Here is a 26,152-nt window from a genome sequence, read left to right on the forward strand (position 1 = left end):
TGGTGGAATCGTTGACTGTCAAGGATAAGAAAAGAGCTCTGCAAAGGACCCAGCCAAAAAAGCTGATAAAAGAACAAAAATCAGATTGACCACAAACTTTTGCAACATTAAATGTTGAAAGAATCCAGAAAAATTTCACGATTGTAAAGGAAACATTGCAACAGAAGAACTTTATATAGCAGCTTAAGTTGTCATTTGCATCTGGAGGCAGTGAAATGGTGTGTTCAGATCAGCAGGTCGGGGAGGATGAGGGACATGTGGATGTCTGCCTCCAGGCAGGCCTTTTCCTGGGAGCGGCACGTCTTCCCTTGGCACCCCATAGATGTCTGAGGCTCAGCAGCTCACAGTCGAGTGTCACCAGCTTCCTCCCAGACAGACCTCCTTTGCTGGCTCAGCATAGGGCATCACTGTCCCCCAAGTTGCTCAAGAGAGTCCCACCCCTCCCTCCCTGCCCCTCCATCTCTCATAAAGCAAGAAGCCTGCATGCTTCTCTCTAGTCCTGCTGCCACCCTCTCCTGCCTTCATCAGTTCCCTGGACGGTTGGTCACAAGAGCCTCGTTGCCTCCTCTCTCTCTCCCCCAAGTTGGAAGCCACGTGTTTTTATTAAAACTTTGATCTCATTAGGTTTCTGTGCTCCTGAAATCCCTTTGTTGGCTTTTTATCGCCCATAGGATCAAGTCCGAAATCCTCACCACTCTCGGGCTCCAGCCACCTCCCTGCCTGTCTCTACACACTGTCCTCCAGCCTGCAGCCTTCCCTTGGCTTCCGGAACCTGCTGGTGGTTTTCACCTCTGAGGAAGTCTGCACCCAGCTCTCCCCTTTGTCTGGAATACTCACCCACTATAGGCCCACCTGCTGTAGGCTGCCCTCCAGGCAGTCTCCTACCACCCAGACTGTGTGGGGCTCCTCTTCCATTCCCCCATCTCCTTGGTGTCTCGGCAACTTGAATCAAACTTGCGGGTCTCTTTTCTGACTAGATTGTGAGAGTCCCAAGGGCAGTGGGCCCGGGCCCTGGCACACAGTAGGTGCTCAGTAAGTGCTGTGAGTGTGTGGCTGCACATAGTGGTGCTGTCCAGCATAGGCCTTTGGAAACTACCTATTAATGAACAATCTGCATTGAGTCTGTCAGTCATCATCCAACAGGTGAATGCTCACTGTCCCACTGCACAGATACACCGTGGCGTTTCCCTAGGCCCCTGCTGACTTTGGTGCTGGTGTGCTTACAGGCTTTTGCTATAATTAGAAATGCTGAGATGAAAAATCTTGCCCACGTATTTTTTAGCACCTCTCTAACGTTTCCTAAGGTAAATCTCAGAAGTAGAATCTTGGGTCGTCTAGATTGTCAACATCTTTCTGTCCCATACCTGAATGTGTTCATTTCCTCATTCTAGCAAACACTGGACATCTTAATTGATTTTGGATTCCTTGCTAGGAGCTAAACCCGTTTTATTACTTTTCATGTTGCAAATTGAGGTGAATAACTTTTTGTTTGTGCTAGTTGCATTTCTCTTTTTGTGAATTCCTGTTGTTATTCTTTGCATGGTGTTCTAATTTAGTCCGTTTACACTTAGTGCAGTTGTTGATATAGGGAGGCTTAAGTCTGTCATCTTGCTCCTTGTTTCACATATCTCCCCTTATGGTTTTTGTTCCTCTTTTGCTTATTTACTGCCGTCTTTGGGGTTGACTATTTGTTAGTTTTCTACTACATTTTGTCCACTGGCTTGTTCTCTGATTCAGCTGTGGTCTTGCAGGGCCCCCCCCATCTGGATGCATCCTCCTTGGCTCAGTGGCACCCTCATGCTCCTCCATGTAGACTCAGCTCTGTGCCCTGGTCAGGCTGTCATCCCCACACAAGATCTGGGGCACTCGTGGGCTGGCCTCCTGAGTGTCCCTTGTCTCGGGGCTCTCACTTGTATGCTGCCTCCGCCCACGGCTGACAACAGTTGCCTCTGATCTTTTGTTCTGTTTTACACTTGTTTGCTAGTCTGGTTTCTCCTTTTCTAATCTGTCCAGAATCAACCTGATGTATGTATGTATGTATGTATGTATGTATGTATGTATGTATGTATATATATATATATGGAGTCTTGCTCTGTTGGCCAGGCTGGGGTGCAGTGGTGTGATCTTGGCTTACTGCAACCTCTGCCTCCTGGGTTTAAGTAATTCTCCTGCCTCAGCCTCTGGAGTAGCTGGGATTACAGATGCATGCCACCCCGCCTGGCTAATTTTTTTTTTTTTTTTTTGTATTTTTTTTTTAAATACGTTTTACCATGTTGGCCAGGCTGGTCTTGAGCTCCTGACCTTGTGATCTGCCCGCCTCAGCCTCCCAAAGTGCTGGGATTACAGGCGTGAGCCACCACGCCTGGCCTGATGTCCTTTAAAAAGGATTACAGAATCCTAAAACTCTATGGCTAGAATGGAGTTTAGAGATTTCATTTCAGCAAAGATGAAGAAATTTGAACAAAAGGTTAAGAATTGCTAGTAATTTTTTCCTAAAGCATGTATTTTATTATATAATCAAAAGTGAGATAGAATATATTCTAGGATCGAAACTCTGTTTCCTAATAGATAAATGTATTTGTGACTAGTTCCCTTAGTAGTTTCTCCAGTATTTTTTCCTTCTTCATGTAGCCATGGCCAGGGAAGAGTCAGTCATTTCAGTTAAGAAATTCAAGTCAGTTGTAGCTTTTTATTTTTCTTTCTTTCTTTATTTTTTTTTGAGATGGACTCTCGCTCTGTCCCCCAGGCTGGAGTGCAATGGTGCGATCTCGGCTCACTGCAATCTCCGCCTCCCGGGTTCATGCCATTCTCCTGCCTCAGCCTCCCGAGTAGCTGGGACTACAGGTGCCTGCCACCACGCCCGGCTAATTTTTTGTATTTTTAGTAGAGACAGGGGTTTCACCGTGTTAGCCAGGATGGTCTCGATCTCCTGACCTCGTGATCCGCCCGCCTCGGCCTCCCAAAGTGCTGGGATTACAGGCGTGAACCGCTGCGCCTGGCCTGTAGCATCGTTTAAGTGTTGACTACTTACCTTACATTTAACCAAGAAATTATTCCTGAACCGGATAAAATCACTAGTCAGTGTACTTTCTCTTAAAAATAAATGACTCATGTAAAATTCAATATCCATTATACTGAAAACCTGTAATGAACTAGGAATAGAAAACTACTTCTTTTTCATGAGAGAGAGAAAACACCTGTGTCAACAGTCAACATCGTATGTAATAGTGAGTGGCTGGAGATATTTCTACTACAGTCAGGAACAAGGGTGGGTACCATGACCCTATTTAGATATTCTACAACAGTGGTCCCCAACCTTTTTGCTACCAGGGACTGGTTTCGTGAAAGCCAGTTTTTCCGTGGACTGCTAAGTCTGTTTGTACAGTATTCTTTTGGCCTCAAACCCACCTCTGGTGATGAGAATGTTTCTTTCCTTTTGGTGCAAGGAGGGCATCTCCTACATGGGAGTTTCATCACCTGCTTTTAAGAAGAAAGGGGGAAGTCAGACTGGCCTTCTTGCACCGCTGTTTTTTAAGTGCCTTTAGCTCAAAATAATGCTCCTGCCAAAGTAGCATATTTTTGGGTGGGATAGTCTGTCACCCTTCAGTGAACAGGTGATTTCAATAAATATTTCCCTTGTCGAAGTCAAATAAAATATAGAGACAAATCTTGAAATTTAAAACATTTTATTCGGGAAGAAAGAATTACAATTTGGGGTATACATGCAGACCAGATGGTCTTCGGTATGTCTGAAGAACAGAGCAGGTTGGGAGTTTTATCAGAAAGAGAAAGGTTACGTATTGTCTTGGAAGAAAACTCATTGGCACTAGAAAAGTTTTGGGGAGCTGGCAAGCTGGGATTGGTGAGTGACAGTGGTAGGTAAAGCCGGTCTTAGAGTCACAGAGGGTTGTTTCAGTGGCTTCTAGGTAAAACTGGTCTTAGAGTTACAGCAGGCTGTGTCAGCAACTGGGCTTCTGAAAAATATAACTCTTAAACATTTTTTTATTTTTATTTTTGTGACAGAGTCTCACTCTGTCTCCCAGGCTAGCGTGCAGTGGTGTGATTTTGGCTCACTGCAACCTCCGCCTCCCAGGTTCAAGCGATTCTCCTGCCTCAGCCTCCCAAGTAGCTGGGACTACAGGTGTGCGCCACCATGCCTGGCTAATTTTTGTATTTTTAGTAGAGACGGGGTTTCACCATGTTGACCAGGCTGGTCTTGAACTCCTGACCTCAGGTGATCTGCCCACCTGGGCCTCCTAAAGTGCTGGGATTACAAGCGTGAGCCACTGAGCCCGGCCAAAATTTAACTCTTGAAGCAGATGCCCTGAGTGCTTTTTCCCCTCAACCCTATCTCTGGTTTAGTTGGGTATGACAAGAATAACCCAACTCATAAAATCAATTTTCAGACCATTTTAAGGTCCATCAGAAAGGCCAGTTTGAAGATTTCTCTGTTTTGTGTTCTGATCTTTTGCCTTGACCACAGTGACCCATTGGGGCTCATGCCAAGCTCACTTACGCTGGCTTAACACATAATTCTAAGAGGGTTTCTCATTCATCTTCCAAGGCCATTCACGTTTATCTGTAAAAGTAGCTAACATTTAATGATATTTTGCTCTGTATGCATTTTTTCTCCTATAGAAATTTACCATTAATAATTATTCATTATAGACAATATAATTATTCTAACAGCTAACATTTATAGAGCACTTACCATGACTAAGGAATTGCATGTTTTATTTAATACAGTCACCTACAGATGAGACAGGCGTTACACCCATTTGCTAGGTTAGGAAAATGAGGCACAAAAGTTACCTAGTCCAAGATGATACAGACAGTAAGTCCCAAAGGTAGGAGCTACCCCAGATCTGTTGGGCCCCGGTCTGGGCAGTTAGCCCTCATCCTGTCCAGCTTCTCATACATCCATGCTAAAGGCTTACCACCCATGTGTAAGTAGATGTAAGTAATTCGTCTAATGAGCAGCGGTCTGTTATTTGGAAGGCTCCTTTTAACAGCCTATTCCTGACTTGGAGTAGCAGTTTTCTAGCTGCTGCCAGATAACAGTTCAGTAGTTATTATCTTCAGTTGTCAGATTGTAGAAATGGCATGGGAGTAGAGCTAAAGCTTCCTTTATAGCCTAGAAATAAGATAGTGATTAATGAAAAATAGTTGATGTAAATTTCTAAAACTATATGAAAACGGTTTGGCATTACATCATAAAGTTGAGAACACACACCCTTTGACCCAGTAATGCCACTTCCTGTTGCATACCCGACAGTCACGTGCTCATCTCTATTGGGACATATATAAGATTATTCAGAGTTGTATTTTTTTGTAATAGCCCTAGACAAAAAAAATAACCCAAATGTTGTCCGTCAGTGGCAGAATGGATGAATAGTGGTATTTCATTCATATAATAAAACACTATTCAGAAACGCAAATGAACAAAATACATGTAACATGGTTGATTCTTAAACATAATTTTGAGGCTGGGCATGATGGCTCATGCCTGTAATCCCAATGCTTTGAGATCTAAAGAGGAGGATCACTTGAGGCCAGGAGTTCAAGACCAGCCTGGGCAACATAGCAAGACCTTGTTTCTGCAAAAGTAAAAAATTAAAAAAATTAGCCAGGCATGGTGGTGCACACCTGTATCCCAGCTACTTGGGAGGCTGAGATGGAAGGATTATTAAGCTTAGAAGTCCAAGGCTGCAGTGAGCTGTGATTGCACCACTGCATTCCAGCCTGGGTGACAGAACAAGACTCTGTCTCAAAAAATTAGTCGGGTCCGGTGGCTTATGCCTGTTATCCCAACACTTTGTGGGGGCCAAGGTGGGTGGATCACTTGAGGTCAGGAGTTCAAGACTAGCCTGGTCAACATGGTGAAACCACGTCTCTACAAAAAATACAAAAATTAGCCTGGCGTGATGATGCGTGCCTATAATCCCAGCTACTCGGGAGGCTGAGGCAGGAGAATCACTTGAACTGGGGAGGCGGAAGTTGCAGTGAGCTGAGATCGCGCCACTGCACTCCAGCCTGAGGGACAGAGGGAGACCCTGTCTCAAAAAAAAAAAAAAAAAAGGATGTGTTTGCAGGCTGTTTTGCTTGTGTGTTCAAGGGATCCAACTTGACCTACATTCGAGATGAACATATGGTTTATGAAGAAGTTTGGTGATGGAATATTTCTGGATGAACAGGACACTTAGAATAATTATTCAGTCATTCTGTGCTTTTCTTTTGTAAATTGAATGCAGGTATTCCTCTGTTTATGAAGAACACAACTTTTTTTTTTTTTTTTTTTTTTGAGACAGAGTCCTGCTCTGTTGCCCAGGCTGGAGTGCAATGGCGTGATCTCAGCTCACTACATCCTCGACCTCCTGGGCTCAAGGGCATCATCTTGGCTCACTGTAACCTCTGCATCCTGGGCTCAAGCAATCTTCCCACCTCAGCCTCCTAGGTAGCCAGGACCACAAACATGCACCACTATGCCTGGATAATTTTTTATAGAGATGGAGTTTCACCACGTTGTCCAGGCTGGTTTCAAACTCCTGGGCTCAAGCCATCTGCCCGCCTTGGCCTTCCAAAGTGCTGGCATTACAGCGTGAGCCACTGCGCCCAGCCTAGAAAACAAACTTTTGACAGGTTGCATATAAATCAATTCCTGAGGTCATGAGAGAGTATGTTATTTGAAGCAAATACATACTCTTTTGATTTATTGCCCACCTCCCCACCCTACAATTAATCAGGCTTTTGTTTATTGGGTTTGCTTAATGTCGGGTAGAGCTCTGCTCAGGAGTGTGGCTGAGCAGTCACATCCAGCAGCGGGGCAGGGCAGCGGTCAGAGGCCTCCATTCCCATGTGCCCTGGATCCTGCTTCCGAGAGGGACTTCTGGCAGCATTAAAGACCAGACTTCTGAGACATTTTTTTTTACATTTTATTTTGTTTTAGATTTGGGGGTACATGGGCATGCTTGTTAATGGGTAGGGACTTGGCTTCTCGTGTACCCATCACCCAGTAGTGAATGTTGCACCCAGTGGGTAATTTTTCAACCCTCCCCCTCCCAACCCTCCCGCATTTTGGAGTACTCAGTGTCTATTATTTCCATCTTCATTTTTTAAATTTTATTTTAAGATATTTTAAAAATAATACTTTTGGCCGGGTGCAGTGGCTCACATCTGTAATCCCAGCACTTTGGGAGGCCAAGGTGGGTAGATCACTTGAGGTCAGGAGTTCAAGACCAGCCTGACCAACATGGTGAAACCCCATCTCTACTAAAAATACAGAAATTAGCCAGATGTGGTAGCAGGCACCTGTAATCTCAACTACTTGGGAGGCTGAGGCAGAAGAATCTCTTGAACCTGGGAGGTGGAGGTTGCAATGAGCTGAGATTGCACCACTGTACTCCAGCCTGGGTGACAGAGTGAGACTCCATCTCAAATAATAATAATAATAATAATAATAATAATAGTAATAATTCTCTTGAAGGATTGCAGTTGAAATTCAAATAAATCTCTAAGGTCAATAATGTGTATTTATATGACTTATAATCAATAACTATAAATTTAAAAATCACTAGAAGTGCAAATGCCCATGTTTCTGAGGACAAGTGTGTGTGTGGTAAAATGCAAATAAAATAGTCCCAGAAATAACTGTTCGCTTGAGAAATCTTGGAAGCATTTTCTGAAAAGTGTGTGCGCACGTGAGCACATGAAGTGGCCCAACGCTGAGCTGCCTTGCCAGAGGCCTTCCTGCCAGAAGGCAGCTGAGTAAACAGTCTTTAGCCCGCAGGAAAAGGGAGGCCAGCCAGGTAGGAGGCAGGAGGGGACAAGAGGGGTGACTTTGTGTCCCCTTGAAACACACGTGGGCTGCCACCTCTCTGTTTGCCTAACTTGGAGAAACTGCCTTTAGACACTGGATCCATGGTGAGGGTGCCACAAAAAGGTGCCGTGGGTGGTTCTGCGATGTTCACAGCAGACTTCCTCTGAGCTCAGGATCACCAACCTTTCAGCGGAGAAAAGAGCTTTGAGATGAATTTCATAGCTGTGGGTTATTTATATTCTTAAAATGGAGATGGAGAAGGAAGTGTGTCGATGAGGAAGGTAAATTACATTTTAATGAAAGAACTTGCCTGGACATGACAGCTTGTTAGGTGGTGCTGATAATATCTATAAATACTTTTTTCACTGTGCGCTAAAGTATTCCAAACATGCCTGGCTAAGAATGTTTCATAGCCAACAAGTTGACAGGAGGTAAAATAACTGTATCAGTGCACAGGAAAAAGCACCCATGCCTTGTCCTGGGGGCACTTGCAACTTGCTTCTTTCTGGGGAATAAATTTACGATAATGGTTAACATCTACTTGAGGGTTTACTATGTGTGAGGCACTGAACTGCTTACTTTATATTATCCCATTTAATGTTACCTGAAGGATAAATATTATTATTTCCATTTTCTTGTGAGGAAGCTGAGGTACAGAGAGGTCATTCCAAGGTCATAAAGTTAGGAGGTGGTGAGGCTGGGTTGTACCAGCCCCTGGAACCACAAGGCACTGACTGCGGGTCCTGCTGCCCCCGAATCCTCCTATGGTCTAGGTGGTTTTAGGTCATATTTTGTGTAATGACAGATTTCCTTTCCTTTTCTTTTCTTTTTTCTTTTTTGAGAAAAAAGGGTTTCGCTCTGTTGCCCAGGCTGGAGTACAGTGGCACAGTCTTGGCTCACTGCAACCTTCTCCTCCTGGGCTCAGGCAATCCTCCCTGCTTAGCCTCCTGAGGAGCTGGGACTACAGGTGTGCACCACCACGCCTTGGTAATTTTTGTATTTTTTTTGTAGAGGCAGGGTTTCACCATGTTGGCCAGGCTGGTCTCAAATTTCTGGCCTCAAGTGATCTGCCCACCTCAGCCTCCCAAATTGCTGGGATTACCGGCATGAGCCAACACACCCAGCCATGACAGATTTTCAATAATTAACACAGCAGGGGCAGTCATCTAATTCCTGTGTGGGGGTAATAGATCCTCAAACTACTATTGGATTAAAAGTCTTTAAAAACAAGGTTGTTTTTATCTGGAAAATTGTTGATATATCTACATGAGCAACATATAACTCGAGGTCTGTCATCAGAGAGGTGTGCTTTTTAAAGCAAATAATCACGGCTTGATGCGTTCACGCTGCCCCTGCTGTGTTAAATGAAAGCTTGAAAATTGCCAGAGTGTTGGTGTTTTGCAGCAATGTATTCCAGTGCCTTTATGCTAATAATAAAACCTGTCCTGACTATCACAATCCCAGCCCAAGTGTACTTATTTTAAAGTCTTAATCTCTTAAACATAAATTATAAGCTTTAAGATTAGTGTTCCAAATTCTGCTTGGTCCTGTGCAATAGAAATATGAGGAGTTTGGCCAGATTACCTCTTAGTGTCTTTTTCTACATTGTAACTCTCCAATTTTGTAAGATATTTGTTTATATTAGTCTCCTACCTTAAGGTCCATGCCCTAAACATTTTTATATTAGAGTTAACACGATGCCAAATGCACAGGAATTACTTGATAGTCATTATGAATGGGTTTTAATAGAAGTTTGAATTTCTTAACTAAGTCAATGAGACATTTACTAATTTGTGTATAATAAAGACAATATATTTTTCTCTTGGGAAGTAGCTTATTTTATTGAATTCATTTCAGTCATTTAGCGTCTTAATTTAAAGGCATTTTATATAGCCTTTTAGAAATTAAACGTTTGATATAACCATAGATTCATATCCAGTTATAAGAAATAATAGACGCCCAGGTGTGGTGGCACGTGCCTGTAGCCCCAGCTACTTTGGCAGGCTGAGGCAGGAGAATCGCTTGAGCCCAGGAGTTTGCGTTCAGCCTGGGCAACACAGTGAAACCCTGTAAAGAAAAAATAGTAGAAAAAGAAATAATAGAGATATACTGTATGCCTTTTGCCCACTTTCCCCCAGTGATAACATCTTACAGAACCATAGTACATTGTCAACCAGGATATTGACAATGAAACAGGATCCAGAACATTTGTATCACCTCAAAGATCCCTCTTGTTGCCTTTTTATAGCCACACCCTCTTCCCCCACCTCGAACTCTTCCTTCACCCCCAGCTACCACCATCAGTTCTCCATTTCTGTAACTTTGTCTTTCCAGAATCTTGTGTAAAAGGAATCCTACAGCATGTAACCTCTTGGGATTCACTTTTCTTATTCCTAATCCTCTGAGGGCCATCCAGTTTGTTCCATGGATTAGCAGTCTGTTCCTTTTTTTTTTTTCTTGAGACGGAGTTTTGCTCTTGTTGCCCAGGCTGGAGTGCAATGGCGTGATCTCGGCTCACTGCAACCTCGCCCCCCCACCCGGGTTCAAGGGATTCTTCTGCCTCAGCCTCCCGAGTAGCTGGGATTACAGGCATGCGCCACCGCGCCCAGCTAACTTTGTATTTTTAGTATAGATGGGGTTTTGCCATGTTGGTCAGGCTGGTCTCGAACTCCTGACCTCAGGTGATCTGCCTGCCTCAGCCTCCCAAAGTGCTGGGATTGCAGGCATGAGCCACCATGCCTGGCCAGTCTGTTCCTTTTTATTGGTAGATAGTTTTCCCTGGTGTGGATGCACCACAGTTTAGTTAACCAATTACCTATCGAAGGACACGGGGGTTGTTTCCAGTTTGTGGCTACTTTGATTAAAGCATCCGCATGCATTTGTATACAGGTTTTTCTATAAACATGAATTTTCATTTGTTTGGATAAGTGTCCAGGAGTACAACTGTTGGTTGATACTGTAGTTGCATGTTTAGTTTTATAGGAAACTGCCAAACTGTGTTCCAGAGTGGCCATATCTTTTTACATTCCTGTCAGCAATGAGTGATCCAGTTTTCCCTAACCAGCATTTGGTGTTGTCACTATTTTTTATTTTAGCCATTCTGATTGTTGTGTGGTGATGGCTCATTGTGGTTTGAATTCGCATTTCCCTAATGCCTAATGATTTCAAACATATTTTCATGTGTGTGTTGGCCATCCTTATATCTTCTTCAGTGAAATGTGTCTTTTGCCCATTTTCTAATTGAATTATTTGCTTTCTTGCTGTTGTGTTTTAAGAGTTCTTTGCATATTCTAGCTATAAGTCCTTTATTGGATGTGTGATTTGCAGTTGTTTTTGCTCATTCTGTGACTTACCTTTGCGGCTTCTTCCCAGGGTCTTTCGCAGAGCAAACATTTGAAATTTTTGTCATGCTTTTGGTGTCAAGTCTTCGAACTCTTTGCCTAGTCCTAGATCCCAAAGACTTTTTCCTCCTGTGTTTTTTATCTTAAAGTTTTATAGATTATATTTAAATCCATAGTCCATTTCGAGTTAATTTTTGTTTAAGATATGAGATTAGGTCAACGTTTTGTTTGTTTTTTGGCTTATGGATGTCCACTTAACCCAGTGCCAAATGGTGCAAAGCTCTCTCTGCCACTAAATTGCTTTTGTACCTTTGTCAAAGATTGCTTGGGCATATGGACATATTCGTATGGATCTACTTTTGGATTCTGTGTTCTGTTCATTTGATCTATGTCCCTCTGTCAATACTGCACTGTCTTGATTACTGTAATTGTATAAAAAGACTTGAAGCCTACGCGGTGGCTCACACCTGTAATCCCAGCACTTTGGGAGGCCGAGATGGGAGGATCACCTTAGCTCAGGAGTTTGACACCAACCTGGCCAACATGGTGAAATCCCATGTCTACTAAAACAAAAATTAGCTGGGCATGCTGGTGTGCGCCTGTGATCCCAGCTACTTGGGAGGCCGAGGCAGGAGAATCGCTTGAATCTGGGAGGCAGAGGTTGCAATGAGCCAAGATCACACAACTGCACTCCAGCCTGGGCGACAGAGTGAGACTCCGTTTCAAAAAAAAGCCTTGAAATTGGGTAGACTGGTTATTTCTGTCTTTATTCTTTTTCTGAAAATGTTTTAGCTATTGTAGTTCCTTTGCCTTTCTGTATACATTTTAGGATAATCTTGTCTATACAAAAACATTGGCTGCAAGTTTGGTAGGATTTGCATTAAACATGCGTATCGGTTTGGGGAAAATTCATGTCTTTACTGTGTCCTGTCTTCCATTCCATGGACACAGTGTGTCTTCTCATTTATTTAGATTTCCTTTGATTTCTTTCATCTGCATTGTTTCGTTTTCCATTTCCAAGTCCTATACATGTTTTGTTAGATTTACAACTAAGGATAGTCTTCTATTGAACAATTGTCAATGGCATTGTATTTTTAATTGCAGTGTCCATGTTTTCATTGCTCATACATAGAAATATAGTTGATTTTCATATGCTCATCTTGTATACTACAACCTTGCTGAACTCACTTATTAGTTGTATGAGTTTTACGTTTTACTTAAAGTCCCAATTATTTAACACTTTCTATGTGCCAGGCATTATGCTAAAGCTTTCTTGTACTTGTCCAAGCCAGTAAATGGTGGAACTAGGATCTTCATACATAAATCATTTATCCACTTCATTAGTTCATTTCACAAATTCTTAGGCAGAGCTTATGTGAATCACAGTGAATCTAGGCACAAGGTCCTGCCCTCCTGAGCCCACAGTCTGAAACTAGCAGAAGTAATGCAAGTGAATATGTAGCTATGATACGTTCAAATTAAATAAGTTGATTTGTTACAACTGAGTGCATTTACTAGCTCATTCTGTAAGTGGGTGAGGCAAGGAAGGGCCCCTTACCGGTCTGGAGTGGGTGGGGGGGTGTCCAGGGAGGGCTTCCTAAAGAAACAGTGTTGCAGGGCATGATGGCTTACATCTGTAATCCCAGCGCTTTGGGAGGGCAAGGCAGGAGGATCACTTGAGCCCAGGAGTTTGAGAGTAGCCTGGGCAACATAGTGAGACCCTGGCTGTAAAGAAAGAGAGAGAGAAGAAAGAAAGGGAAGAAGATAACCATCTGATCTTTGACAAACCTGACAAAAACAAGCAATGGGGAAATGTTTCCCTATTTAATAAATGGTGCTGGGAAAACTGGCTAGCCATATGTAGAAAGCTGAAATTGGATCCCTTCCTTACACCTTATACAAAAATCAATTCAAAATGGATTAAAGACTACATGTTAGACCTAAAACCATAAAAACCCTAGAAGAAAACCTAGGCAATACCATTCAGGACATAGACATGGGCAAGGACTTCATGTCTAAAACACCAAAAGCAATGGCAACAAAAGCCAAAATTGACAAATGGGATCTAATTAAACTAAAGAGCTTCTGCACAGCAAAAGAAACTACCATCAGGGTGAACAGGCAACCTACAAAATTAGAGAAAATTTTCGCAACCTTCTCATCTGACAAAGGGCTAATATCCAGAATCTACAATGAACTCAAACAAATTTACAAAAAAAAAACAACCCCATCAAAAAGTGGGCAAAGGATATGAACACACACTTCTCAAAAGAAGACATTTACGCAGCCAAAAAACACATGAAAAAATGCTTATCATCACTGGCCATCAGAGATATGCAAATCAAAACCACAATGAGATACCATCTCACACCAGTTAGAATGGCGATCATTAAAAAATCAGGAAACAACAGGTGCTGGAGAGGATGTGGAGAAATAGGAACACTTTTACACTGTTGGTGGGACTGTAAACTAGTTCAACCATTGGGGAAGTCAGTGTGGCGATTCCTCAGGGATCTAGAACTAGAAATACCATTTGACCCAGCCATCCCATTACTGGGTATATACCCAAAGGATTATAAATCATGCTGCTATAAAGATACATGCACACGTATGTTTATTGCGGCACTATTCACAATAGCAAAGACTTGGAACCAACCCAAATGTCCAACAACGATAGACTGGATTAAGAAAATGTGGCATATATACACCATGGAATACTATGCAGCCATTAAAAATGATGAGTTCATGTCCTTTGTAGGGACATGGATGAAACTAGAAACCATCATTCTCAGCAAACTGTCGCAAGGACAAAAAACCAAACACTGCATGTTCTCACTCATAGGTGGGAATTGAACAATGAGAACACATGGACACAGGAAGGGGAACATCACAATCCGGGGCCTGTTGTGGGGTGGGGGGAGGGGGGAGGGATAGCATTAGGAGATATACCTAATGTTAAATGACGAGTTAATGGGTGCAGCACACCAACATGGCACATGTATACATATGTAACAAACCTGCACATTGTGTACATGTACCCTAAAACTTAAAGTATAATAATAATAAAAAAATTAAAAAAAAAAAGGAAAGAAGGAGAAAGAACTGATGTTAATTTTCCCAAGCTTATTGATTCTTATCAACTCACATCAGTTTCTGACATTCAGAGATGTCTGTGATCAAAGCTCATATGAAGAGAATTCTAAATGTTGCATGGCAAAGAACCCAAGAACTCCTGGCCCAAACCGCATGCAGCTCCCCACTCGTCTCTGCGTCCTCCTCACCTCCTTCACCTGCTGCTGTCTCAACTTGACCCCTTCCATCTGGCCCCTGACCCCTGGACTCTGTGGCCTCCCTGAGCGGCCAGCACAGTCACGTCTAAGTCGACCTGACCATCTGCCTGCTGGGTGCTGCTGGCTGCTGCTGGCTGCTGCTGGCGCTGGCTGCCCTGCACATTCTCCATGCCCTCCTTTCCATGGCACCAGTTTCTGCCTCTCCTTTGGGTTTCTTTCCCCTTGCCCCCTGGCAAGCTGGGTTTTGAAGTCATTTGGGATGGAAGGTGGGCCATTTGAAGAGCTGTAGGGTCAGGCCCTCATTCTGCCAGTCCATTTGGGAAAAATCTTCCATGTCACTAAGCTCTTGTAACAATAGCTACAAAAGTTGCTTGTTAGTTGGGAACTGAAATCTGCCTGTATAGAGATTTGCCCTCAGATGGATTTCCAGGTAAAGACAGACCCCCATCCCCATTGAGCAGGGAAGGAGCGGCCCCTCCCTGGCAGTGCTGTGTCCTCTGATGGCGTGCAGCACTTCAGAGTTACTCTGTTAGGCAGCATGGCTCTCCCTTTGCATGGGAGTGAGTGTCCCACAACCAGCACTGTCTCTGCCTGCGCCTTTCCTCCCAGCCCCATGGCCGTGTGCTGAGTGCACCGGCCCTGTTCTGCCTTTGGACTGAGGAGGCGTGTTCCTCTTCCTATGTCTCCCTGACTGTAGGAGCGATCTCTCTTTGAGTCGGCATGGAAGAAGGAGAAGGACATCGTTTCCAAGGAGATAGAGAAGCTCCGCACGTCCATCCAGACCCTGTGCAAGAGCGCACTTCCCCTGGGGAAGATCATGGACTACATCCAGGAAGACGTGGATGCCATGCAGAATGAGCTGCAGATGTGGCACAGCGAGAACAGGCAGCACGCCGAGGCCCTGCAGCAGGAGCAGAGGTGGGGGGTAGTAATGGGGAGGGGGCCCTGCAGCAGGAGCAGAGGTGGGGGGTAGTAATGGGGAGGGGGCCCTGCAGCAGGAGCAGAGGTGGGGGGTAGTAATGGGGAGGGGGCCCTGCAGCAGGAGCAGAGGTGAGGGGTAGTAATGGGGAGGGGGCCCTGCAGCAGGAGCAGAGGTGAGGGGTAGTAATGGGGAGGGGGCCCTGCAGCAGGAGCAGAGGTGGGGTGTAGTAATGGGGAGGGGGCCCTGCAGCAGGAGCTGAGGTGGGGTGTAGTAATGGGGAGGGGGCCCTGCAGCAGGAGCAGAGGTGAGGGGAAGTAATGGGGAGGGGGCCCTGCAGCAGGAGCAGAGGTGAGGGGAAGTAATGGGGAGGGGGGCCTGCAGCAGGAGCAGAGGTGAGGGGAAGTAATGGGGAGGGGGCCCTGCAGCAGGAGCAGAGGTGAGGGGAAGATAATGGGGAGGGGCCCTGCAGCAGGAGAGAGGTGGGGGGGAGCAGGGGGATAATGGGAGGAGGCCTGCAGCAGGAGCAGAGGTTAAGGGTAGCAGAGGCAGGGAGTAATGGGGAGGGGGCCCTGCAGCAGGAGCACAGGTAGGGGATAGCGGAGTGGGGGGAGTAATGGGGGAGGAGGCCCTGCAGCAGGAACAGGTTGGGGTGGGGCAGGAGGGTAATGGGGAGGGGGCCCTGCAGCAGGAGCAGAGGTAGGGGTGTAGCGGAGTGGGGCAGTAATGGGGAAGAGGCCCTGCGGCAGGAACATAGGTGGGGGGTAGTGGAGGGGGGATCCCCAAAGTCAATGGGGACTTTGCTGCATACCTCCTTGTCCCAGAGGTTGTTCTGTATGTAATTTAAGGACTTCAAGATTATCATTGAAGAAATATTAACTGCTGCTTTTATAAATCTCATGTTTGACTTCACTTTTGGTTGTAGCAGGGGTTGTGAAAATAAGAAATAAATATTATCCTTTTCTTTGGATGAAACGAATAATTTACTTCTGTTGTCTTTCAATGTCTTAATTAAGAAGCCAACACACAATGAGATGAGAGAGTGATGAGCCGCTGGTTTTGTTCTCCCTCAGGATCACAGACTGTGCCGTGGAGCCCTTAAAGGCTGAGCTCGCGGAGCTGGAGCAGCTGATCAAAGACCAGCAAGACAAGATCTGTGCTGTGAAGGCCAACATCCTCAAGAATGAAGAAAAAATCCAGAAAATGGTATATAGTATCAATTTGACTTCGAGAAGGTGAACACTCAAAAGTTTCAGAGATGAAAAGTCACCTCAGTTTAAAAGCAAAAAGGAAGATAGAAAATCATTACTCTTTTAAGTTCCAGTTTGCTAAGAAAATGAACAGTTTACAATGTTATTATCCAGCTAATTTTCAGAGCTTTAAAACTGTAAGCATGTTAAGTGTATTAAAAAAACCATGTTTTCTTACCTCCTTCCAGATGGAATACTGGCTAGTTATAAATAGCGCTTCCAAACACCTCTGTGAAAAGTTTTTTTGAAAGCCTGTTCTTTGTGTTTCTGCTGTAACCTGTTTAGTTCTGTACCAGAACTCTCTAGCAGGTAAGTGGTGTGGGCATACCAAGGGAACAGTAGTCCTTTATTTTGGTTTAGTGGAAAGACTTTCAGAGGTCAGTGCCGAATGAAGGATGACTGTGTACTTTTTGATAGGCACTTGATAAGTAGAATGAGGCCTGAAAATGAATACATTATATTTTTAGTTAATTTCCAATGGAAAGGGCTAACCTCAGCCTGTCTCCATATCAGGTACCTATCAACTGGATTGTTTTCATTTTTGTTTTTTGACCTCTTTGTAATTGCATGTACTTCTCTATGTAATTTTCCTCTTGATCTCTACTATCGTTTGCTTGTGTTTCTAGTCCTTAAAGTTCATAAATTTAAAAAGGAGATTTCAGGATGGCCTTTATGGACGTTGTCTGGACATACATCCTCACTTTCTTCCGCAGTTTACCCTGGTTTTCCTCAGACAGAGGCTAGCGCAGCCCCCCGGAGTCCTTGTTCTCCTTAAGAGGGTCTCGCTCTGCAAAGCATTGGCGCCATGGCTTTTCCTTTGCATGGGTGTGCATACCGAGAGACAGGCAGCTTAGGAAAAACAACATAAGGAAGACTTAAAAGGATGCACTGATTTACGACGTTTTTTGATGTTAGCCATTTTTTTGGAAATTGTTTTTTAAAGCAAAAGTTTTTTAAAAACATGGTTTATAGTTTTTCACTTACATATACTATTGTAAATACTTAGCAGAGTCTTAAGTTACTGTATAAAACATTTCATTGTGTTTGAAGACATACTTATGGGTCTTGAGGTCTGGGTCCTAATACTTTTAAATAGTGTATTTATTATGTAAACTGAGGAGTGCCATTTAAAGTGTGAGGATTGCCTGAAAAGGTTTTGTTTCTTTCTTTTTTTTTTTTTTTTGAGATGGAGTCTTACTCTGTCGCCCAGGCTGGAGTGCAGTGGCGCAATCTCGGCTCACTGCAACCACCGCCTCCCGAGTTCAAGTGATTCTCCTGCCTCAGCCTCCTGAGTAACTGGGACTACAGGCGCACGCCACCATGCCCAGCTAATTTTTGTATTTTCAGTAGAGATGGGGTTTCACCGTGTTGACCAGGATGGTCTCCACCTCCTGACCTCGTGATCCGCCTGCCTCGGCCTCCCAAAGTGCTGGGATTACAGGCATGAGCCACTGCACCCGGCCAGGTTTTGTTTCTTTAAGGATTAGCACAAATGGCACCGTTGGGTTTTTCTTCATACAATTTCCAAAATAAATTCTGTACTCAGGTTGTTATATGATTTTCTGAGCTGAATAAGTTCAGGAGCAGATTATTAAGATCTGCCATTCTGAAACGCTGGTCTTTTTCTCCTTCCTATAGTGCACCATAAAATTCTGTTTGATCAGATTATATTACATACATTTTGGGGGAGTGGAGGGACATGAGTTAAGTAGCCCTTCATGTATTTATAATCTCTTTTCTACTGAATCAAATGACTTAGCCATGACCCTGAATGGACCTTGTTTTACTTCAAGTTGAGATGTCTGCCTTTTATGAATTTGTATATGTGAATAGAGTTTGGGGGTTGCCAAAAATTGCATACATTGTATGTAAGTAAAATTTTTTATGAAGTAGTCTGTCAAATTGTATCATAAAGTTTATTTTTCTTTTATACGTAAATCATTAAAAATAATCACATATTTTTTCCATAAGTGTATGGATTGTGCAGTTCGATTCACACATGGAAAAATCATAAGCATTTGGATTTTTTATTTTCAAATGTGTGTGTTTTGTTTTTCTCGTGAGGAAAGTTCAGGGAAATACATCTTTTCATTCATATTGTGACACATCTCTTTTCAGTATGAATTGAAGTTTTATAAGATAGGTAAGCATTTATCAGAAATTGTAAGATCATTTGTGAAGTTTTAGAAGGTCTCTACACGTGATTGTTACTGTATCTTATCCTACACACTAGATCCTGATCTTAATTTGAGAAATTTAATTTTTCTCTTATTTTGAGACAATACACAAATGGGATTATTAAGTATTTTTCTATACTTTGGTTTATAAGTTTTCAGGGAGTACTGGAGTCATACTTCAGGAATTTGAATTTAAAAGTTGAGCTGATGATAATTTATATTCAAAGGAAATGCATAATAGACCTTTGGAAGAAATAGTTCAAGACTAAAATGCAGCTTTCTACTTTGATATTCATCCTTATTTTTCTTTTTAATAATCAACTTTTAAAAACTGAAATCTATGAAGAAAAATGATGTCACTTGGTGACATGAAGTGCTACTTAGGATTTGGGTGATATGGAATTCTAGTCAGTGTATTAACGAGTGCCCCCGAACTATTCCGGTGCTAGTCTTCTGAGCTGCCCTGGACTGATGGGGTTTATCTTCTGTTGGTCGATGTGCACAGTGTCATGGCACACGAGTAAGAGAAAAGATGGCCAGGGCCTTTGAGCAGCTTTGGGATCAGTAGCCAGTGTGAGCCAGCAGCAAGCAGGATGAGCAGCCTGTTTGAGCTTCCGCAGGAACCTGCTTCAGAAGGAGGCCACGCCCAAGCAGGATCAAGGCTCAGCATGTCACCGTCAGGGAAGACACTAAACACCCAGACCTGGACTTGGCTCCCCACTCTGGACTCTTCTTTCCACACCCGAAAGTGCAGAGAGTAAATAACCTTGTTCATGGCGCCTCTACGTAGACCACTGTGGGCTCCTCTGAGGGGCTCTCCAGCAAAGACTAATGTAGCAAAGCAGAAGTAAGAAAAATTCTAAGTCAAGCATGAGCCAGCCTAAGTCGGAGGAGAAGGAATAGCTGTTCTCAGTGATTCTCAAATGTAACTACTTGCTACATTTGGGCTCTGAGTTTAACTCTATCATAGGATACACTTTATTAATAAAAATGTTTTATATTTTCCTAAAAGGTGTTTCAATAAGTATGGTTTATGCAAGCTTTACATTGGGGCATTAGTGAAGCCCCCTAGTCAGAACCCCTTTTTGATTATGTGTATTTTCATAAAGGGATATTGGGAGGGACTTTGGTTTCTTTTAAATTCAGCAAGAGAAATTTAAATGTCTTTTAAAGCTGTAGAACTTGACCGGGTGTGGTGGCTCACGCCTGTAATCCCAGCACTTTGGGAGGCCAAGGCAGGCAGATCACCTGAGGTCAGGAGTTCGAGACCAGCCTGGCCAACATGGTGAAACCCTGTCTCTGCTAAAAATAAAAAAAATTAGCCAGGCGTGGTGGTGGGTGCCTGTAATCCCAGCTACTTGGGAGGCTGAGGCAGAAGAATTGCTTGAACCAGGGAGGCAGAGGTTGCAGTGAGCCGAGATTGTGCCACTGTACTCCAGCCTGTGTAAAAGAGTGAGACTCTGTCTCAAAAAAAAAAAAAACAAAAACAAAAACTATAAAACTTGTTTTGGCCAGCCGTGGTGGCTCATGCCTGTAATCCCAGTATTTTGGGAGGCCGAGACGTGAGACTCACTTGAGCCCAGGAGTTCGCGACCAGCCCTGGCAACATAGTGAGTGAGACCCCATCAAAATAAACAAAAAAGCCGGGCATGGTGGTGTGTGCCAGTAGTCCCGGTTACTCAGGAGGCTGAGATGGAAGGATCACTTGAGCCTAGGAGGTTGAGGCTGCAGTGAGTCATAGTCATGCCACTGCATGCCAGGCTGGGTGACAGAGCAAGACCCACTCTAAAATAATAATAATAATAATAATAATAATAATAATAATAATAATACATAAAACTTGTTTTTAAATCCATATATAGAGCTGAATTCCAAATTGGTTATCAGTTTCTTAAACCAAGCAAATTGGTCTTTCTGTTAAGAAAATGGAGTTCAAAAGAAAGTTAAATTACACATATTACAAGAAGGTTGTACTCTGGTCAGTCAGGGCAGAATCACATCCTTGTAAATGAATGCAGTCAAATGTGTGTGTCCAGATTGGTGGGCGTGTGGTGTTGGCGAAAGCACCATAGAAACCTCTGGGTGTCTTCTGATGAAGCCGGGCACCCAGAGCCATGTGATTCCAGGAGATGCTTGTGGAACAAGGCTGGGCTGGCCCTGCCCCACTGGGCACACCGATGGTAGGGTCTGATTTATGTTCTCCAGCAGCCAGGCATGACACTTTGTGGATAGTGCTATGTGTAAGTTTTTAAAGAAAATTATCCTTACTGTCAATCATGTATCAATATCACCCTTAGTCGTGCCAGGTATTCATGTTGGCATAACTAATTCATATTCCTAAAGTATTCATTTCTTCTTATTTAAAGGACTTTTAATGGAAGAGGTAATATATTAGCATGGATCCACAATCACGGTTAGCTGAAAGGGTCCTCTGTGAGAGGTCCCCTCCCGTGGTCCCTGTCTGCCTTGCTTCTCCTTGCCCCTGTAGGCAGCCATTTGCATTAGACCCTTGTACAAGCAGATAAGAATATTTACTTTTATACCCCTGCAACATACAGTTTCACAAAAGGTCATAGTCTATACCCTGTTCTGAACCTTGGCTTTTCGGATTTATGCAGTCTGGGGACCTCAGAGTGTCCACCCTAGACACCGTCCTCACTTCTCTCCAGGCTGCGTGGATCTCCCCCTGCGGCTGCCTGGCTTCTCCTGCTGGCTCCCTGGTGCTCAGTCGCGTGGTTTCTAGTCTTCCGCCATTAAAAGCAATGCCGCCGCGAATAGCTTTGTTCTCCCATCATTTCTTCTGTGTGGAGAGATACCCGGAAGTGAGACTGCAGGGTCAAAGCACAGTGTGTCGCCATATTGGTGGGTGTTGCCAGATGCTGTTTGTGGGATGGTTCCATGTTCCTGCACCAGAAAATATGTGGAAGTGTCTTTTCCCTGCAGCCTTCCAGCGGCGGATGGCCACACGTAGACATTTCCACTGCTCAGGCGAGAAAGAGGATCTCAGCATGTTTTCATTTACACTTTCGCATTTTGACTGAGTTGTAGCCTCTCTTGATGTGTTTAAGGGTCATTTGCTTGTTTGCTTTTCTGTTCTGTGAGCTGACTGTTCAGCTGCTCATTTGCCCTTTGTTCTGTTGGACTCTTGGTTTTCCCTCCTGGATTTCTAGAAGCACTTCGTGTTTTGAGTTCATATTATTCCCAGATTGCCTTTTGACTGTGCTATAGCTTCCTTGCCCCAGTGCGATGCTGGACAAATACGAAGGACAGTCCTTGTGATTTTATAATTGGTCCGATGCTGCCAGGAACGATGGCGACGGCTGTTTTCTCGTGTTAAAAACAGACTCTTCTGATCCTGGTTACAGAGAACCTCTAGCAGGAATGGATGTTGAATTGTTCTTGTGATCGCATTTTGTCTCCTTTGGCTTAGTAATGTGCTATTCTCGATTACCCAACATGAAAATATCCTGCGTTCATAGATGAAGTCTTGCGTGCTCAGTCGGGCTGTTCCTCCCTCATGCTGAGTAGTTCTGCCGCACATGCGTGAATCCACTGTTTCTTGCTGCCCGGTGCTTGTCAGCCGGCAGGGGGGTTGAGGGCATTACTCTGTTGTTTGATTAACCCCAGTCTTAGGTAGACACCGTGTCCCTGGGTCTTGGCTGTAGCTGGGTTGGGGGCATACTCTGTTGCTTGATTAACCCCAGTCTTAGGTGGACACCGTGTCCCTGGGTCTTGGCTGTAGCTCTGGAACCAGCTTGCATTCCTGCCCCTCCCCCAGGAGTCAGGGTCTCCTATTCCTTCCCAGCTACAGGGGTTCCCCCAGTGCCCTAAGGCTGACAGGTTTCTCAGCTGCCCCTGCACCGTATTTTCTGTCCCAAAGGGGAGAAGATTCCAGCAGTAGTTCTGTGCCCTCCAGCAATGACTACCGTTGGAAACTTCTCCCCTCTGGGACAGAAGACACCGTTCAGGGGCAGGTGAGAAGCCTGACAGTCTTAGGGAATGGGGAAACCCGCTGGAGCTGGGAAGGGAGTAGGAGACAGGGCCCATAGGGAAGAAGGGTCTTTCTCAGGTGTGCACAGCAAGGGACACTTCAAACTTTCTCCAGTCTTTCCTGAGAGGTTTTGTGGAAACAGCCTTGGGGAGGCAGCTGACCCCTGTTGAGGCCCTGGGGGCTTTGCGTTCTCTCTCCTGGAGCACACTTGTCCTGCAGCCGCCCCACTGAGCTTTGCTCCCCAGGTTGGCCTGCACTCCCCTGCCCCCTCTGGCAGCTGGCTGTCTGTCCTTAGGTTTGTCCAGCTGTTTTTCATCTAAAGAAACTCCAGCCAGGCACGGTGGCTCACACCTGTAATCCCTGCACTTTGGGAGGCTGAGGTGGGCAGATCACCTGAGATCAGGAGTTTGAGACCAGCCTGGCCAACATGGTATAACCCCGTCTCTACTAAAAATACAAAAATTAGCCAGGTATGGTGGCACGCACCTGTAATCCCAGCTGCTTGGGAGGCTGAGGAAGGAGAATCGCTTGAACCCAGGAGGCAGAGGTTGCAGTGAGCTGAGATCACGACACTGCACTCCAGCCTGGGTGACAGAGTGAGACTCTGTCTCAAAAAAAAAAAAAAAAAAAAAAAAAAACCCCAGAGTTTAAATTCTGAAGTCGCTGCTTACTACTTCTGAAGGTGTTTCCTAGGTCTTAACCCAAACTGGGTTGAGAGGCCCTTGACACAGATTGACTTTGAAAGTCTGGCCCAAAGCGGTGCCTCGCTTTTCACCCCTGGCCTCTGTATCTTGTTCATGGATCATGCTGCATTGTTTCTGAAGCACAAACAAGGTTTATTATCAACAGTAAGTGGCAGATCTGCGTGGGGTTCAAGCTTGAACAGGAAGTAGCTGAGGCGAGAACCACAGTGTGTGTGCCCCGCGGAGCCCACAGCATAGGCCCTGACTGCCAGGCCTCCCGTCCCACCACCGGCCTTCTGGGGTTGTGGCTAGACCCCTCCTCCCCTGCCCAGTTTTGTGGGTGGTGGGCATAGCTTCAGGCCTTCTTTCACCTTTTGGGCTTCATTCCTCTCCCCTGCCAAACCGCGCCCCTGCAGGGTAAATTTTGCCCATTCTTGAGGTGGTGTGGAAGAACACAGAGTGTGGGTCAGGACACCTTCCTGTCAGGCGTGGATGTGTGATTTGGGGTGCTCCTATCTGTCTCTCCTTTGAGCCTCAGTTGTCCACTGACAGGTCATCTTAGCCACGGGGAGCACACGTGGCTCATGGGTGCCTGGTGATTGTTGGTGTGCGGTGCGCTGGCAGTGTGTGCTGTGCTGTCCCTCACCTCGGCGGTTGGCTGGCGGGGCCTGGGGGCTCCTGCTCAGCTCCGACCCTTCAGGACCAGCTGCCTGTGGCCCTGTCTTGGTGGATGGTCTTACATCTCCTAGGCAGAGAAGCTGATGGCTGAAATGTGCCATAAAGACACAGTGACATTGAGAAATGCCTCCGCCGTGTTTGGATAGCTTGCTATTAGCATGTTCCCATGAGGGACGGATACAGCAGCCTAAGCTGAGGACTCATGAGGAAATGAGAGCCCAGGCCCCACCCCTGAGGACGGACGAACCTCAGGGATGGGCAAGTTTGCCTCGGCCTCGGCCTCTGGTGGGGTGGGGGGCTCAGGCCTGTGGGTCGGGGGCTTGGCCTCTTGGGAGGGGGGTTGGGCCTCCTAGGTAGTGGCATTGGGATGAGAGAAGCGCCTGCTAGAAATTTGTGGTTTCAAAGCCGGGCATGTGACCCTTTAGAGCTAATGGGCCCTGACAGTTCTGGGAAGCATTTGTTTTATTTTCATAAAGTGCATAAAATCCTTCTGACTTGAGCAGAAAGAAATTGGCGGTGCTGCTGCAGATGCTTCCCCAGGCTGCCCACCGTCTGCCAGACCAACCAGTGAGGACAGGCGGGGCCGACGGCTGTGGGGAGAGGGTGCCTAGGGCCAGCTTCCCCTGCACCTTGGGCCGAGGGACAGCCCGAGGAGGAGGAGGAGGAGGGAGAGGCTTCAGGTGAGGCAGTGAGGGACCCTCCACAGGACTAGACTCCCAAGAGGACTGGGTGGTGTCTGTGTCCAATTCTGATGTGGGGACGCGCAGTAGTGAAACCTCCCAGGCCCTTCTGTCTCCCTGTCCAGGGGACCTGGGGTGAGAGGGACCCTGCCCTCCTGCAGCCCAGCCTAGGATGCTAGTGCTAAATACTTTTTGGGCTGAAGAACTTCCTTAAAAGGACACAATTTCCAGAAGCCACAGATGAAAAAAAAAACGGACACTTTGCTCCATTAAAAAGTGAAACTTTCTGTATTCCAAGCAAAAGTAAAAAACAACACATTGGGATAAACTTGCAATGTATTTTAAACTCTGTTTAAAGACAGACTTTTTAATAAGAGAAACAGCCCAACTGAACGATAGAAGAAAGGAATAAATAGGCAATCAAATAATCACAAAGCATGAGAAACCAACTTTGCTGTCGAGAGAGAAGGTGGCAGAGATTTGGGAATCCAGACTGGAAGAGGAGTTACCTGGGCTTCCCAGCGGCGCAGGCACTGCCACGCCCTTGGCCTTGGCTGTTGGCTTAGGCAGGTGGCCTGACTCCGGCCTCCCTCTCCCACCTGCTTGGTTGGATTCAAGAGTGCTGGCCTCACCTTGTCATCAGAGCATACGTGCAGCATTAGGTGGAAAGTGCGAAGGGCAGCCCTCAGCACACAGCACACGGTGCGCTCCAGGCGGACCCTGGCTCTGGTTTGTGATCTGTGTAATGTAGGTTAATATCACAGTTGCACACATCTTTCGATTGCCAAAAATTTAAAAATTGATAGTATTTGGAGTGGCTGAAGATGTGGGGGTGTAAATTGTGTGAGACTTCTGGAGGACATTTTGGAAGTACTTCTCAAATTTAGAAATATTTTGCTGGCACAAGAAAAAGCTGGAGCAGGGACATGGCCCCCTATCTTGAAATAACAGGTCTGGGGTGGAGGGAGGGTTGAGCCTGTTCTCTGTGGCGCTGGAACCTATGGGTGGGAGACAAAGGGAGACTGATTTTGGCTCTGTGTAAGGAGGGAGCCTCCGTTCCAACAGGGTTCAAAGATGACAGGACAGCCCCTCATCAGGTAGATGGTGAGCTCCTCGTCACAGGAGGCGTGCAAGCAGGCAAGATCTCCACACCCCCATTGCACTTTCTACCAACTGCATCAACACGTCAGCACCCACGTAGGCTTCAGGCCTTGGCAGACATGACCTTCAGGAGCCCCCAGGCAGATGGAGCCTGGGCTGCAGTTCCTGCCTGCCCCTATCCCCCAACCCTTGGAAGGCCTCTGAAGTCTCCAGCGCCCCCTCACTG

At 45.4% G+C, this 26,152-nt stretch overlaps 1 protein-coding gene across 11 annotated transcripts in view, besides 1 other annotated feature; it reads left to right on the plus strand.

Moving 5' to 3' along the window:
- The window catches only part of TRAF3IP1 (TRAF3 interacting protein 1), an 80,383-nt gene extending 61,797 nt beyond the window's left edge, over nt 1-18,586 (plus strand). For 9 of the 11 annotated variants that reach the window (XM_011510944.3, XM_017003789.2, XM_011510945.3 and 6 more), the window contains 2 exons: nt 15,145-15,365; nt 16,440-18,586. In XM_011510944.3, the coding sequence (XP_011509246.1) occupies nt 15,145-15,365; nt 16,440-16,605 (387 nt within the window). In that variant the 3' untranslated portion in view covers nt 16,606-18,586. Of the gene's footprint in view, nt 1-15,144; nt 15,366-16,439 lie in introns of those variants that run through there. The other 2 variants (NM_015650.4, XR_922902.3) reach the window with 2 other exon arrangements.
- Nucleotides 1,823-1,942: an enhancer, noted in NCBI's record as "active region_17382". NCBI's record gives its function as "activates an Ori minimal core promoter by ATAC-STARR-seq in GM12878 lymphoblastoid cells {active_cell/tissue: GM12878}" and the evidence as "EXISTENCE:reporter gene assay evidence [ECO:0000049][PMID:35858748]".

The sequence above is a fragment of the Homo sapiens genome, chromosome 2, assembly GCF_000001405.40.
Source record: "Homo sapiens chromosome 2, GRCh38.p14 Primary Assembly".
Lineage (NCBI taxonomy): Eukaryota > Metazoa > Chordata > Mammalia > Primates > Hominidae > Homo > Homo sapiens.